This window comes from Homo sapiens, chromosome 10 (genome assembly GCF_000001405.40).
Source record: "Homo sapiens chromosome 10, GRCh38.p14 Primary Assembly".
In the NCBI taxonomy this organism is placed as follows: domain Eukaryota; kingdom Metazoa; phylum Chordata; class Mammalia; order Primates; family Hominidae; genus Homo; species Homo sapiens.
The window spans coordinates 96,609,132-96,623,858 of record NC_000010.11 but is presented as its reverse complement, the minus strand read 5'-3'; the positions used below and the strand labels follow the sequence as shown (position 1 = coordinate 96,623,858).

General features: G+C 47.1%; 1 protein-coding gene and 2 pseudogenes across 4 annotated transcripts in view, besides 1 other annotated feature; 2 read left to right on the top strand and 1 right to left on the bottom strand.

Moving 5' to 3' along the window:
• The window catches only part of PIK3AP1 (phosphoinositide-3-kinase adaptor protein 1), a 127,200-nt gene that overhangs the window by 96,656 nt on the left and 15,817 nt on the right, over positions 1–14,727 (top strand). For all 4 annotated transcript variants that reach the window (XM_011539248.2, NM_152309.3, XM_047424566.1 and 1 more), the window contains 4 exons: positions 322–387; positions 3,302–3,507; positions 7,148–7,220; positions 13,992–14,147. In XM_011539248.2, coding sequence (XP_011537550.1) covers positions 322–387; positions 3,302–3,507; positions 7,148–7,220; positions 13,992–14,147 — 501 coding nt within the window. The remainder of the gene's footprint in view (positions 1–321; positions 388–3,301; positions 3,508–7,147; positions 7,221–13,991; positions 14,148–14,727) is intronic.
• Positions 1,221–1,442: a silencer, noted in NCBI's record as "fragment chr10:98382174-98382395 (GRCh37/hg19 assembly coordinates)". NCBI's record gives its function as "represses an EF-1alpha promoter that drives an FKBP-Casp9 reporter gene in an ReSE screen in phorbol 12-myristate 13-acetate-treated (for megakaryocytic differentiation) K562 erythroleukemia cells {active_cell/tissue: K562(+PMA)}" and the evidence as "EXISTENCE:reporter gene assay evidence [ECO:0000049][PMID:32094911]".
• RPS2P36 (ribosomal protein S2 pseudogene 36) lies at positions 2,152–2,982 on the top strand (annotated as a pseudogene).
• RNA5SP324 (RNA, 5S ribosomal pseudogene 324) lies at positions 4,376–4,483 on the bottom strand (annotated as a pseudogene).

Below are 14,727 nucleotides of genomic sequence, written 5' to 3'. Positions count from 1 at the left end.
AATTTTAAGGCTCACATTTTCCATGGCTAGCTTCAGGTTCTCAGGGGTCCAGGCACATGTCCTTTCCCATTACCGTTTTCTTCAATGAGCTTGTAAATGCTGATCATGTCCTCTGGCTAGCTTTGGTTTTCTAGTTTGAGATTGTGTCTGTTTAGTCTGCCATTACTTGACAATTCCTAGTCCTTCTCATTAATTGCCTCTTTCTACAATTTTGATTTACAGAACCACATACGGTGGTCCTAGGTATGGATTCATTATTATTATTATTTTGTACTGGATTTTGATACTTTTTCAGTAATCAGAATATTCTTTATCTCATAGTTTTTGCAGAAAAAAGTCAAGAGCGGCCTGGGAATTTCTACGTTTCCTCAGAGAGCATCAGGAAAGGTAAGCCATGTGTTATATGAACTGAACTTTTGTGTGGTTGAAGTGTTCATAGGTCAGTGATTTCCAAGTGTAACAATAGCTCCTTGACATTGAAAAATAGAGGGATCTAGGCCAGGCATCATGGCTCACGCCTGTAGTCCCAGCACTTTGGGAGGCTAAGGGGGGTGAATCACTCGAGGCCAGGAGTTTGAGACCAACCTGGGCAACATAGTGAGACCCTGTCTCTAAAATTAAATAAATTAATTAATTAGATAAAAATTAAATAAATTATTTAATTAATTAGAGAGATCCAAGGATACTTTAGTGTGGCACTGTCTGAGAGTCTTGTACTGATGGTAAAGGGGGAGGGAAAGAGATCAGGGTCCCCTACAATGCTGTGCAAATTGGTCGTACAAAGGACCTTAATTAGTGGAAAGTGTCCATAAAGCACATAAAAGTACAATCTAAAAATGGAGGTTGATGCCAACAGGATGAAAGTAGGTGGCCCAGCACTCAGTCTTTACCTAATGATAACAGCCTTTCTGGGCTATTTACTTACCTTATCTATACTAGCTAAACTATACTTTGATTCAACTTTTATTTAAAAGGTATTTTGCTTGCCATTGGGGAACAACTTGGAAGTCTTATTTTTCTAAACAGTTTTAAAGGAAGTTTGAGGAGCTAAGTGCTCTTTTCTCTTGATTAATTTCCTTGTGCTAAACAGAAACACTCAGTATTATCCCATTGAGGATTCTTTTGAAAAGTAGCCATGACACCATCTAAGCATTTGAAGGCATCCCCCAAAGGGCTCTGGTAGTAGGAAACTGGAACTGGTTGGCTTGTGCATTTTGTTTTTTCCTCCACTGTGTCTCCCAATACCATTAAAGAGAGCCTTGACAAGGGCAGACCTGGGAGAAGGATGTGTGGGTGTGTGCGGACAGATAAGTGAATGGTTGGGCAGAATGATAGATAAACGTCTCTGAGGCTTTTTCAGTACTCACCGGTGCAGCCATTTCTCTTTTTTCTTCATGTTATGTCCCTGAGTCACAATGCCCAAATGGAGTCCTGCTGGAGAAATTTAGATCCAAATAGCCTTGTATGAATTGAGTGAAACGTCAAGTTGCCTCAGTGGCCCCATGGTCGCTGCGAGTAGCTCATTCCCCACAGAACTGAAGTCACAGCCTGTAGAGAGATGAGGGTTGGCTTCATATTTCTCCAGAAGCTCCAAAGCAGAGAACTGTGAATTTGTAATGTAGAAGAGAGGTTGGCACAGGAACAACCCAAGGGTAGCCAGCTGGAAGCCAGCACCTACTTTATACCTGATGCTGTTGGGCCTGTGTCAGGATTCCACTGATGTTCCAGTCTCCTGGGGCATTTCATGCCCATGGGTCCACAATCACTGTGCCTCATGCTGCTTAGAGACAGTGAGGGATGAGAGTGGGGCTAAGAGAAGCATCCTGGCTAAACTCTTCCAGTGTATTCTCTTCTGGGTATGGATTTAAGTCTAAAGCAGTGGTTCTCAATTGGAAGTGATTTTGTACCCCCTCCCTAAAGAACATTTGGCAATATAAGGGAATTTTGGTTGTCACAACTCAAGAAGGGGGTGCTGCTAGCATTTAATGGGTAGAAGCCAGGGATGCTGCTGAACATCCTACAATACACAGGACACACCCACACAGTAAGGAATTACCTGGCCCAAAATGTCAATAGTGCCAAGGTTGAGAAATACTTGTCTAAAGGCGTCTCAATAATTAAGGCTTGGCTGCTTCTTCAAGAAAACACCAAATGGTGGATGATGCTGATGCAGTGGGAGGGCCTGGGGGTCCTGGAATGGCAGGCTGCGATGGCCTCCCTGGAGGCTTTGGCAGTGACATCAGGCCAAGGTTGTGGCTGTGGCTGGGGCCAAGGCTCTGGAGCTCATAGAGGTAAGTCTGAGAACAAGGAGTCGACGCCTATCACTAAGTTAAACCATCTGGCCAAAGATGTGAAGATCAAGTCCTGGGAGAGCTGTCTTCTCTCTGCCCATCAAGGTGTCTGAGATCATTGACCTTTTCCTGGAGTCGTCTCTCAAGAATGGGGTTCTGAAGATTATGCTGGCACAGAAGTTGACCCATGCTGGCCATTTCACCAGGTTCAAGGTGTTTGTTGCCTTTGAGGACTACAATGGCCATGTTGTCTGGGTATTAAGCACTCCAAGGGGGTAGCCACTACCATCCAACGGGCCATCATCCCAGCCAAGCTCTCCATTGGACCCGCACAGAGAGGCTACAGGGGGAACAAGATCAGCAAGCCCCACACCAGCCTTTGCAACGTGACAGGCCACTGGCTCTGTGCTGGTGTGTGTGCCTCATCCCTGCCCCCAGGGGCACTAAGCATCATCTTGGCCTCTGTGCCCAAGAAGCTGCTGCTGATGGCTGCTACGCCTTGGCCAGGGACCGCACTGCCACCCTGGGCCACCTTTGATGCCATCTCTAAGACTGCTAGCAACTGGATCCCTGACCTCTGGAAAGAGACTGTATTCACCAAGTTTCCCTACCAGGAATTCACTGACCATCTCTCAAGACCCACACCAGAGTCTCTAAGCAGAAGACGCAGGTTCCAGCTGTGGCTACAACGTACGGTTTTCTTACCAGAAAAATGAAATGAATGAAGCCTGTTAAAAATAATAATAATAGTTAAGACTTGGGAGAGTCAGCAGATTTCACGCCTCCCTTAAATGTTGCAGCCTTGTCTACTTCAGTGTGATAGGCCTTGGAATTATTAGCTGCATTCTTCTCCCCTGATTTTATGTTGTATCTCCCCCTTCTTGGCCACATGTAATTGTTCTTTTGAGAAGAGTCCTCTTGAGCCTGTGACCAGCCTCATTAACCGTACACTTCTGGTGAGTGGTCCCCAGTGGGGGAGCTGTCAAGCTGAGTTTTGCCATCCTTTCCAGGGCCGCCCGTCAGACCATGGAGGGACAGGCCCCAGTCGAGTATATATGACCCTTTTGCGGGAATGAAAACGCCAGGCCAGCGGCAGCTTATCACCCTCCAGGAGCAGGTGAAGCTGGGCATTGTCAACGTGGATGAGGCTGTGCTCCACTTCAAAGAGTGGCAGCTCAACCAGAAGAAACGATCGGAGTCCTTTCGTTTCCAGCAGGTAACTAGCTTCGTATGGAATTTGTTTCATGTCTATTTCCCCACTTGACAGTAGAGGAGGGCTGGGCCATGGCTGTCTTGTGTATTGCTGTACCTGGACACCTGTGGCTGTGCCTGCGAATGTTTGAGTTTCATTGTGAACCAGTGAGTGTGTATGAGTGTCACCTCGGTCTGTAACCACATGGCTCCCTGGCTGAGAGCTGGGTAGCTTTTCCAGGTACCATGAGGCTTGAGATCAGGAACAAAGACTCAACTACAAACACTAACTCTGCTGCTGTGTCTCTCTGCATTTGGCTCCCTGCTTCTGCTTTCCAGCTTTTTTCTTTTCAGAGTCTCTCTCTCTCTATTCCTACTGCCAAATACCCTCATAACTATCACACTTTATGACTCAAAGAGAACTTGGAAAACTCCCAAGAAATATGATTAAATGAACAAAACAAGTTGCAGATACAAAACCACCCAAATTAAAACAACTCAGACACGTCCACACACAAACTCTGTATTTCTATGGACATGTATATAAATGCAAGGACAAAGATCTGGAAACGGCCACTTCGGGCCCATTCCAGGGGCCACCTCTCAGGAGAAGACTGGGATTGGAGGACTGGGGTGTCAGAGGAGACTCTTGCTCTACCTGTATAGTTTGAAGCTTTTATGAGAATATATAACTCCATACCTGTATCATAAGTGTACATGATGTATAATTAAAAACAAAAAAAGAACTCAAACTTAACCTTAGGAAGCTCATTCTTAGTCCACCAATGCCTTTGTATTAAAAAGGAGGAAATGGGGCTCAGGAGGTTAAGGGACACGTCCAAGGCATCTTTCCTAGTGAGGGGCCGAGTCAGGACTGGAACTATTGCTTTCTCTCTCCACCTCCCCAGGCTGCTTCCTTCAAAGTACTAGCCAGGCCCGACCCTGCTTACCCTCAGAGATCAGATGGGATTGGGCGCGTTCAGGGTGTTATGGCTATAGACCCTGGTGGTGTGTATTCTAATCTCTGTTCTTACGCTATCTGACATACCAGCTGTCAAGGCGGGGAGTAAGCAGCACCCGTCCAGGGCTGAGATAGGAGCCTGTCTTCTGGGACAGGATTAGTGGTGAAGAGTGGGGAAGCATGTCATCAGGCCGCATTTGCTGACCTCCGACAGTGCTATGTTAGGCATTGTGCTCAGCGTTAAATAGACCTGATCTCTTTCACTCCTCATACACGCATATGAAATAAGTATTACTCCTCCTGTTCTACAGAAAACTGAGGCTCAGAGAGGCGAAGAGGCAGTCAAGGTTCAAACCTCCCCTTTCTCACCCCAGAGCCTGTGCTCCCTTCACTATGCCTTCTGCCTTTTTAGTGCTCCTTAAGACAGGGGCACCTGCTCTGCCAGCTGCCTCCCTCCCTTTTGGGGCCTGAAGGGTGGGAGGGCACTCTGGAGAGCTGAATGCAGGAATCACGGGTGCTTTTCACTCAGGAGCCCCTGGGAGGCTGCAGTCCTGCTGAGAAAAGGCTGGCCCTGGCTAAACAATGTTTTTTTGCTCCTTGCCAAGTTGTGCAACCACGTGGCACAGTAGTTAAGAACAGCCAGGGCTCTAGAGCTGGCAGCCTGAATTTACATCTTTATTCTGCTATTTGATGACCTTGACCTTGCTGTGCCTCATATGAAAGGGGAGGACTAGGTGATATAAGCTACTGTAAGCAGCATAACTGGTACGTAGTAAATACATAATAAATGTTAGCTCTCTTTCTTTTTTTCTTTTTTTTTTTTTTTACATTTTCTTGTAGTGTAAGGTAATTGCTAATATGAGGTATAATCTGTAAGCAATTAATACAAATATAAATAGGTATAAGCCACCACTAACTCAGTCTGCTGGAAAGCTTCTCAGCTAAAGTAGTTTGAGGATAAGGTTAAGGGAAATGAGAAGGGGTGGACAGGGCAGGTTTCCAGTGGGAACATAATTTACGTGTCTTATCATTACCATCATCCTGTATGTACCAGTCCATTGTTGCAGAAAGGTAAATCCTTTCCAAGTATGGTTTTTTTGTTATCGTTGTTGTTGTTATACTTTAAGTTCTAGGGTACATGTGCACAACGTGCAGGTTTTTTACATAGGTATACATGTGCCATGTCTTTCTGTGTTTCTATCCAAGAGACCTCTTCCCTTCCCATGAGCTGGTCCAGAACTCTTGGGCATAGCAGACGACGGGTTTATATTTAATACGGCAGAATCCCAGCTCATGGGGGCTCACATTGTTTGGTTCCCTGAGAGCCTCTAGCCACTTCCTGAGCATCTCCCCTTCAGGGGCTGGTGGTGTGGAGACATTCCTGGGTGGAGGCCTCATCTTCCTTTTCCTCTGCCTCTCTGTCCACTCCTCTGTCTCCTTCACGTCACCCTCTCACAATGGACATTGAAGCTTTCCTTCAGCTCCTTCTCTGTGCAGTCTGTGTCTCCAGTTCCATGTTTCCAGCCCCAGTTGGCTTTGTCCCCCTGAGTGCCCCAGGCTCACAGCATGTCTAACAACAAACCATCCCTCAAGGCCGCTTTCCTTTCCCAACAGCCTCTCTGTGCTCATCACAGAGGAGAGGGAGATCAGACCTCAGAGTCTCTTTGGCCTTCTCCCGTGCTTCCGCTCACCCAGTCAGCGGTGTGTCCTGCTTGGTCCTGCTCTGCGGCATTTGTCCTCTTGCATCTGCTCCTGTCTCTCCATTCCCCCAGCCACATCCCCATGTCAGCTTCTGTTGCCTGCATCTGGCATACTCCATAGTCTCCAGGAAGGTCTGCTGGCCTCTGTTCCTTCTTCTCTAGTTCACTAGAACCTTAAATCCATGACAAGCTCACAGTGTTCAGTGTTTCCCTGCTGTCTCCTGGACACAGGTGAGTCTCTTCAGCCTGCAGCTGCAGACCAACCCCCCTTTCCAGTTTGGCCTCCTGTGACTCCCCAACATGAACCTTCTGCTCCAGCCAGATTGTCTGGACATTTTCCCTAGAATGCTCAGGCACTTAACTTCGGCGTTATTGTTAATTGACTAAAATAGCAACAATCTTGACCCTTACATGTCTATTCAACATTTATTGAATGACTACAATGGGCCAGATGGCAGGATTATGGAAAGGTACACGACGTGGTCTCTTGACCTTGAAGAGCTCACAGTATCTCAAAGAGGCAAGGCACAAGAGTGTGCACACATGATGGAGCAGCATAGCCCAAGTGCTGGATGGTTGGCATATCTGGGGAGGCTTCAGGGAGAAAGTGGGCCTTGATCCAGACTCATGGAGAAGAACCAACATCCATGAAGGTCAGGGGAGTGATGTGAGAACACAGTCTCAGAGACAGGAATACCTGTGGAGTATTTGTGAGCTGGGCTAAGAGGCATACATGAGAGGGGTCATATAGAACAGAGCTGAGAACCAGAGGGGAGGAAAGACACTTTCTTGTGGAAGAGATGTCTTCTCTTCAGGCACAGATTCTGTGAGTATTTGGATTTCTCTGGGGGCTGACTGTGAATGCGCTGAGCCTCATTTGCATGTTGTAAATGTGACTGCAATGTGATATACCCTGCAAACAGCATACAATCTGAAAGAAACTCTCATGTCCAGAGGGTATCATCCTGTTGTACACTTAAAAAATAAACCAAATTTTTTTCCAGGAAAATCTTAAACGGCTAAGAGACAGCATCACCCGAAGACAGAGAGAGAAGCAAAAATCAGGAAAGCAGACAGGTATGTGGCTTCCTAGGGTGCTGCATTGTGTGGGACATTGCTGTCATCTGTTGTCCTTGACTCTCCTTTTGGCTGTGGCCTGAGTGGGCAGACCACTTGCCCAGCACTCGTCATACTGTTTACAGATCTGGGTCCCCCACTAGACTGTAAAGGCCTTTTGGACAATGGTTATATCTTATTTATTCTGTAAACAATCTGGTACCTGGTACATAAGACATGCCCGGAAGTGAATAAGTGGATTCAACTCTGCATGCTTCCACCTTTTCACTCAAATAGGATGGTGATACTTCCTCTGCAGACATCTGACTCTCCCCTTGGCAATTAGGAGGACTTATGTTTTTTAAGCAGAGAAAGGAGAAAATCCCATTTACCCAGTGTCTATTTCTGATTCTGGTGAGCAATGGCGTCATCTGCATCCACACCATACAGTGCTTCAGAAGCCCATGCCCCAGGTGTAGCAGGGCTTCCATGGTGCAATAGCAGGGCCACAAATTCCAGTGGTGCACACTATGGACTGGGCCCCCGCTCCCCTTAAGCCTACCCCTGTGCCAGCCATGTGGCATCACCACCCTTGAGCAAGAAGTTGGCGTTTACCCACAATGCATCTTCCCACAGAGAGCCTCTGGCATAGTGGGCCTCTGTGATTAACCGAGGCCAGCCTTATAGCAAGAGGAGCATGCAGGAGAAGGCTTTCAGAGGCACTCAGATCTTGAATGGAGCCCTATTACATGAAGAACCAAGTTAAAATCTAGCCCTGTTTGTGCACAGCTTCCACGGTCTCTCTCCAGCTGCCATCAGCTGCCTGACTTCCCATGAACCTAGTTGGGCTGGTAACACCCTGGTGTCCAAATGGGACATTCTCTCCTGCCGTGGACCCCTTGCTCATGCCATGCCTCTTCTTTCTCACCTGTATGAAAACTACTGGGCTGCAAGACCCAGCCCTGGCAGCCCCTTCTCAGTAACACCTTCCTGGACCACTCTAGGCCATGGTATTCCTTCCTCATTCAAGTATATGTGGGACCTCCCACCCCTTCCATTCATCTGGCACTTCTCTTTTTCTGTCTCTGGTTGCTATCACCTCATTCCTTCATCCAAGCCATCAGCAGTCCACAGATGTTCTGCCTCCAAAGCGTATCCTAAATCTGGTCATTTCTAACCATCTCCTATGGCACTGCTGCAGCCAAGCCACATCATCTCTTGCCTAGACTAAGGGAGTAGTCACTCAGTCATCTCCCCATGTTCACTCTTGCCCCTCTATAGTTAACCCATTGTAGCCAATGATGTTTAAAAAATTTAAAAGTCAGATAATGCCACGCCCTTGATCAAAGCCTTCCAGGGGCTCCTGTCCCACTCAGGGTAAAATCACACATTCCTGCTCACAGCCTACAAGGCCCTTTGTGATCTGACCCCTGAGCTCATCCTCCATTCTCCCCCAAACCCTGTGCTGCAGTCCCTGGACTCCTATTTATTGCTCTAACAAGCCAAGAGCATTTCTCCCTCAGGGCCTGTGCACTTGCCATTCCCCTGCCTTTCCCCACATCTTCACCTTCAGGCCCTTTTCATCCTTCAGAGTTCAGTGTAGCATCTCCTCATCAGAGGCCTTCTCTGCCATTCTCTCCAGAGTAGCCCTCCACGACTCACTTTCTGTTCCCTGGCATCCTCTCTTTTTACATATCACAGACTGGAATCATCTTTGGTTTCTGTTCTCAAGGTTATGGTCCAACACCCCATCTCCCTTCCACTAGAAGCTCCACATGGGCAAAAACTTGTCTGCTGTGTGCTCCGTGGAGTCCCCAGTGTGCAGAACAGTACAGTGATGGAGTTCTAGAAGGCTTTGTTGGAATGGTCAGTTTCAGGAAACTATTTGGTGACACCACTCATTCATTCCACACTTAACAAGCACCAGGCACCCTGCCAAATACAGAGACCTATGAGACACTAGCTTCACCATCTGGTAGCTAATGAGTCAGTTATCTTTGTATTCACACAGGTCTGGCTTTCCCTACTAGGGTCTGTTCCACCATGCCTAACACAGTGTTTTGAAGATAGTACTAACCTAGTGAATGTTAATGATTTTGGGAGAAGAGGGGTTAAGAGGTTTTAACCATCGCAGAAGGTCAGAGAGGTCATCCTATGTCTTCTGCTTGGGTGTCTGGATTTTAAATTTATGCTGCCGGTGGCTGAGTTCACACTTGTCTGTCCTCCTGGTTGAGAGGAAGAGAAAGGAGAGAAGGCAGAAAAGCTGTTTCGAGATCTGCACAGTCATCCTAGGGTCAGATAATAGGGGTCTCAGTGATAAAAGAGATGAGATGCTTTTTAAAACTAGAGTCCATGCGCCCAAAGATAGAAGCCTTGATGGAATGAGACATTTCAGGTTTTTAAATACAGACAGCATCAAGAAACCTGTGATTTGGCGTTGCACCCAGTGTTTGAAGGCCCAGGAGTCCTAGTGTTGGAGTCACATGTGCTCAGCCGTCTGGGCTCAAGACCTGAGCCTTCTGGGTCTCATCACATCCTGACCACTCATCTGGGCTCCCCACCTGGTGCCACTGGAGATACTGAAGCAGGACAGACGCACATGCAGAGGAGTAGAGGGGTACAGGGATGGACTCTGGGGCCAGCGAGGTTGGGGTCAAATTCCTGCTCACTGCTCACCCCTCACTAGCTGGGAGCTGTGGGCGAGATATGTCACCTCCCTGAGCCTCAGTCCTGCTTTGCAAAATGGTAAAAGTGAAAGTGCCCACCCCATTAGGGAGCATTGAATGAGTTGGGGTATAACCAGTGCTTAGCACAGTGCCTGGCACCTGGGAGTATTCCTAAAAGTGTCCACACCCATGATTACACAGAGGCCCACACACCAGCTGAGGTCCTCTCAGGCAGGGCCATCCAGAATGAATCACAAGTTCTGAAACATTATGCAAGGTTCACCCAAGGCTGTTCAGGCTCTGAACAAGTGATTTATACCCACCAGTAGCGACAGTCTAAATTAGAATGGTCAGTGTCTACATTTTTCCAAAAGAGCATGGCTTAGTTTGCCCATCTCCAGCCCCCATCCCCGACTCTCCAAGAAGCAGACCCTCTGACAAGGATATTTTCGGGAGAGGGGTGTTAAGTATTTGTACTTCTTATATCAGGGGCTTTAATCAATGTCATAACTATTGAGAGATTAAACTGTATATAATTTGATACAAAACAAGAATGACCGGGGACGGCAAGCAATCTATATGGGAGAACGTTCTGCCTGACAGCCCCAAGGGCCTCCTTGTTTGTGGTACTTATTGTAATAAAATATGCCTAACATAAAATTTACCATTTGAACCATTTTTAAGTGCATAATTCAGGCTGGGTGCAGTGGCTCACACCTGTAATCCCGGCACTTTGGGAGGCTGAAGTGGGAGGATCACTTGAGGCCAGGAGTTCGAGAGCAGCCTGGCCAACATGGCAAAACCTTGTCTCTACCAAAAATACAAAAATTAGCTGGGTGTGGTGGCATGCGCCTCTAGTCCCAGCTACTCAGGAGGCTGAGGCAGGAGAATCGCTTGAACCTGGGAGGCGGAGGCTGCAGTGAGCCAAGATCGCACCACTGCACTCCAGCGTGGGCGACAGTGCGAGACTCTGTCTCAAAAAAAAAAAAAAAAAAAAAAAAAAAAAAAAAATATATATATATATATATATATATATATATATACACACACACACAATTCAGTGGCATAAAGTACATTCACAGTGTTGTGCCAGCACTACCACTTGCATTTCTAGAACTTTTCTCCCCTGATAAGGATTTGAGAGCAAATAGCTGGTGTGGGAGGTGATCCCAGGGAAAGTGGTAGGGGATGGAGAAGTGAGACAGGGAGGAATCAGTGGAGAACACCCACCTAAGCAACGAGACAGCTGGGACATTTATACACCAGCCCCCATCAGCCTTTGATGGAGGCCTGCTTGGGGAGGGGCACTCATCATTCTGCTACGAGAAACAGCCTCAGGCAATTAGAAGTTGGACCCTGTACTGCATGCTGAGGTTGAAGGGCAGCATTTGCCAAAGAGAAGGCATCATTTATGGTTGAGTAAATATGACATATTATTGACACACGATAACATTATAGGAAAATTAGGGTTGATGAATAATGTTTGTGCTTAAAGGATCTTTTCTAAGAATGTAACCCATTCTAAACACAATGACTGACTATTCATTTGAGAACTTCGTTTGCCTTAGGGAAAAAATAGTAATCTTTAATTTGGGTTAGAATGCCAAAGAGAATTAAAAATTAAGACTGTTCTTAATAACTTGCCCATTTTTCTCCAACCCCAGGGGTTTGTTTGCTCTTACTGGGCTGGTACAGAGCGTTGATGGCGTAGGAAATTAGAGAAGGGCTGGTGAGAGCCATGGCCTCACAGAGAAGATAATCAATATTTGTGTTCTGGGTGTGTCCTGTGGAGCAGGACGTAGAGGAGCTAACCGGGTCCCAGGAAACTTGGGTTCTGATTCCTGCTTTGTCACTGAATCACTTTATGATCCAATTCCTTTAACCACTCTGTGCCTCAGTTTCCTCACTGGGGGCTATAACCTGACTTATCTACTTAATGGAGAAGTCATGAAGTTTAAAGGAGGTATAATAATGCATATAAATGCACTTTGGGAAAGCACTATGCAATATAATCATGATAACTATTCCTAGCATTGTACCTTTATTCAAAGAATATCAGGATTTTATAAACATTCGGACTGGTTCTACCTGATTTTTTGAACTTTTGACTCCCTATTTTTTCCTGTGTATTTTACTTTCCTTCTTTATAGAACTAGTTGAGGTTAAAAAATTGCCTCCTCGAAGTTAATTAAGCAGACCGGAATCTCCCTTTTAAAAAAGTGATTTTTGGCTGGGTGCAGTGGCTCACACCTAATCCCAGCACTTTGGGAGGCTGAGATGGGTGGATCATGAGGTCAAGAGATTGAGACCATCCTGGCCAACATGGTGAAACCCCGTCTCTACTAAAAATGCAAAAATGAGCTGGGCATGGTGGCGCGTGCCTGTAGTCCCAGCTACTCGGGAGGCTGAGGCAGGAGAATTGCTTGAACCCAGGAGGCAGAGGTTGAAGTGAGCCAAGATGGCGCCACTGCACTCCAGCCTGGCGACAGAGCGAGATTCCTTCTCAAACAAACAATGATTTTTAAAAATCTAAGTCAGAGCAGGAAGAAAAAAAAAAAGACTGACACTCGTTTGGTCTCTAAGATACTGTGGGGGCTACCCATATGAGAGTGAGTGCCCCTGGCTATTTTTGCCCAAGTAGCTCCAAGCTGGGGTAGGTGCTTCCATGGCATGGTTGTAGCCAAGAGAGCCCCAGCATGTGAAAAAGACCTGGATTACACAAAACCCTAGGAAGCTGGTTGGACACTTGGACCATACACTACACCTGGAGCCGGAGTCTCCAGATGAGGAAGGCTGGTGCCTGTGCAAGCCAACAATCCACTCTGATCATTCTCTGCGCAGAATGTTCTGGGGGACTTGGTGTGCCCTGTCCTCTCGCTGCTCCTTCATCCTGTTCCAGTTTATCCATTCACCCTGCCAGATTTCTGGCTTTGGTAGGTGGAGCCACCTCTGCCCCTGGACTCTCTGAACTTCCTGCCACGCCTGTCCCCTAGAAGGGTAGAGGTGGAGGAGGAAGTGGTACCAGAAGATAAAAGCACTCGTCCCCAAAGCTAACACCTCTTCTACCCAAGTTTGTATAGCCACCGCTGTATAAACCCTGCCCCTGGGCTTGAGAAGGTCCCAGGCAGCCGGGGGAGTCTTGAGGCAGGAGCACATCTTGCCTTCAGGAGGAAGTTGGTGCTGCTGCCCCCAGACTTTTTTTCTACTCATCAGAGTTACTGTTTTCTGCTCCTAGAACCCAGCATTGGAAATGTAGGGAGGAACAGAGACAACCTCTGGGTAGGGTTAAGCCAGTAAGGAGGTCAGGTCAGTGCTTTGCTCGACAAAGGCATCAGCTCTCTTTACCCCAGGGGCCTTGCAAGTCACAAAATCTTTCATAGGCCTGAAGGACCTCCTTTCATTAGCTTTCGGGGTCATTACTGTGTGTGTGGGCCACCCAGCCCACACCCACCCACCCACCATCCGTTCCTTGTGCAGAGAGCAAGAGGCTGTACAAGCAGTGGTTAAGAGCCTGGACTCCGGAGCCTGGGTTCAAATCCCAGCTCTGCCACTTACCAACTGTTCGACAGGACATGCTACATCACTTCTTTGTACCTTAGTTTCTGCTGGCATTGATGATAATAATATTTATTTCTTGGGTGTTGTGGGGGTTAAATGAATGAAAAATACCATAGCTCTCAGAACTCTGCTTGGTGCATAGGGCAGCCTGTTATTACAGTCAAGGATGGAGATACCCCTCCTCAGATAAGGGGAGTGATTCAGAGAGGAGAACTGTCTTGCTGGAGTTCCACAGATGCTAAGTGGCAGGGCTGAGAGCCCAAACCTTTCTCTTATGGTTTGTTCTTTCCACTCCCTGATGCAGAAGCGCTTCTCTGTCCCTTTCTCACATTATTCTATTCCTCTCTTCAGTCTCTCAGTGACAGCCACACAGGATTCAGTAGTTTCAGTGCTGAAGGGGAGGGGGCCACCAACCCAGGGCCCCTCCCTCTCCCATCGTCTTTTCCCTTCCCCTTCCCCTTCCCATGCAGGCTCCTGTGAGAGAGGCAGGTGGAGGGAAGCTGCTGAGCAGCTTGGCAGGTGACAGTCTGGTATCTTGACAGCTTATCCCTCTTTCCTCCAATTCCAGACTTGGAGATCACGGTCCCAATTCGGCACTCACAGCACCTGCCTGCAAAAGTGGAGTTTGGAGTCTATGAGAGTGGCCCCAGGAAAAGTGTCATTCCCCCTAGGACGGAGCTGAGACGAGGAGACTGGAAAACAGACAGCACCTCCAGCACAGCAAGTGAGCAGCTGGGGGTGCGGGGGTGGGGTCTTCTTGACTGGGCTCCAGCTGGCACCCTTGGACCTTAGGAAACATCCTCTTAAGAGCCCAGGAGATCTCCAGTGGGGCCTGGTTTGGGTTTGAGAGGTATAAAAGGTGGGGCCGAGTTACTGTTTGACTATGAGGTTTGCTTTGTATCCCATGAAACCTAGTTACGTGATAATTATTACTCTGGCCCTTTTCTAAATATCAAAACCTAATACTAATAGGTAACATTTATTGAGCATTTACTATATTCTAAGCCTCTTTATAGATTATCTAATTTAATTCTCACTGAAGCTCTATGGAATAGGGACTGTCATCTTTGTTTACTGAGGAGGAAGCAAGAGGCTTAGTGCTCTGGCCTAGGTTAAATAGCTAATGTGGAATAGCCGGAATTTGAACTCATTCTGGATACAGAGCCAAGGCTCTTAGCCACCATTCTTTGCTGCTTCCTCAACTATGATAAAGCAAAGGAAAGGGCACAGAGTCAGAAATATCAGAAAACAATGTACTCAAGTAAAATAAAAAGAAAGAAGAGAAAAAGAAAATAATGAACTCA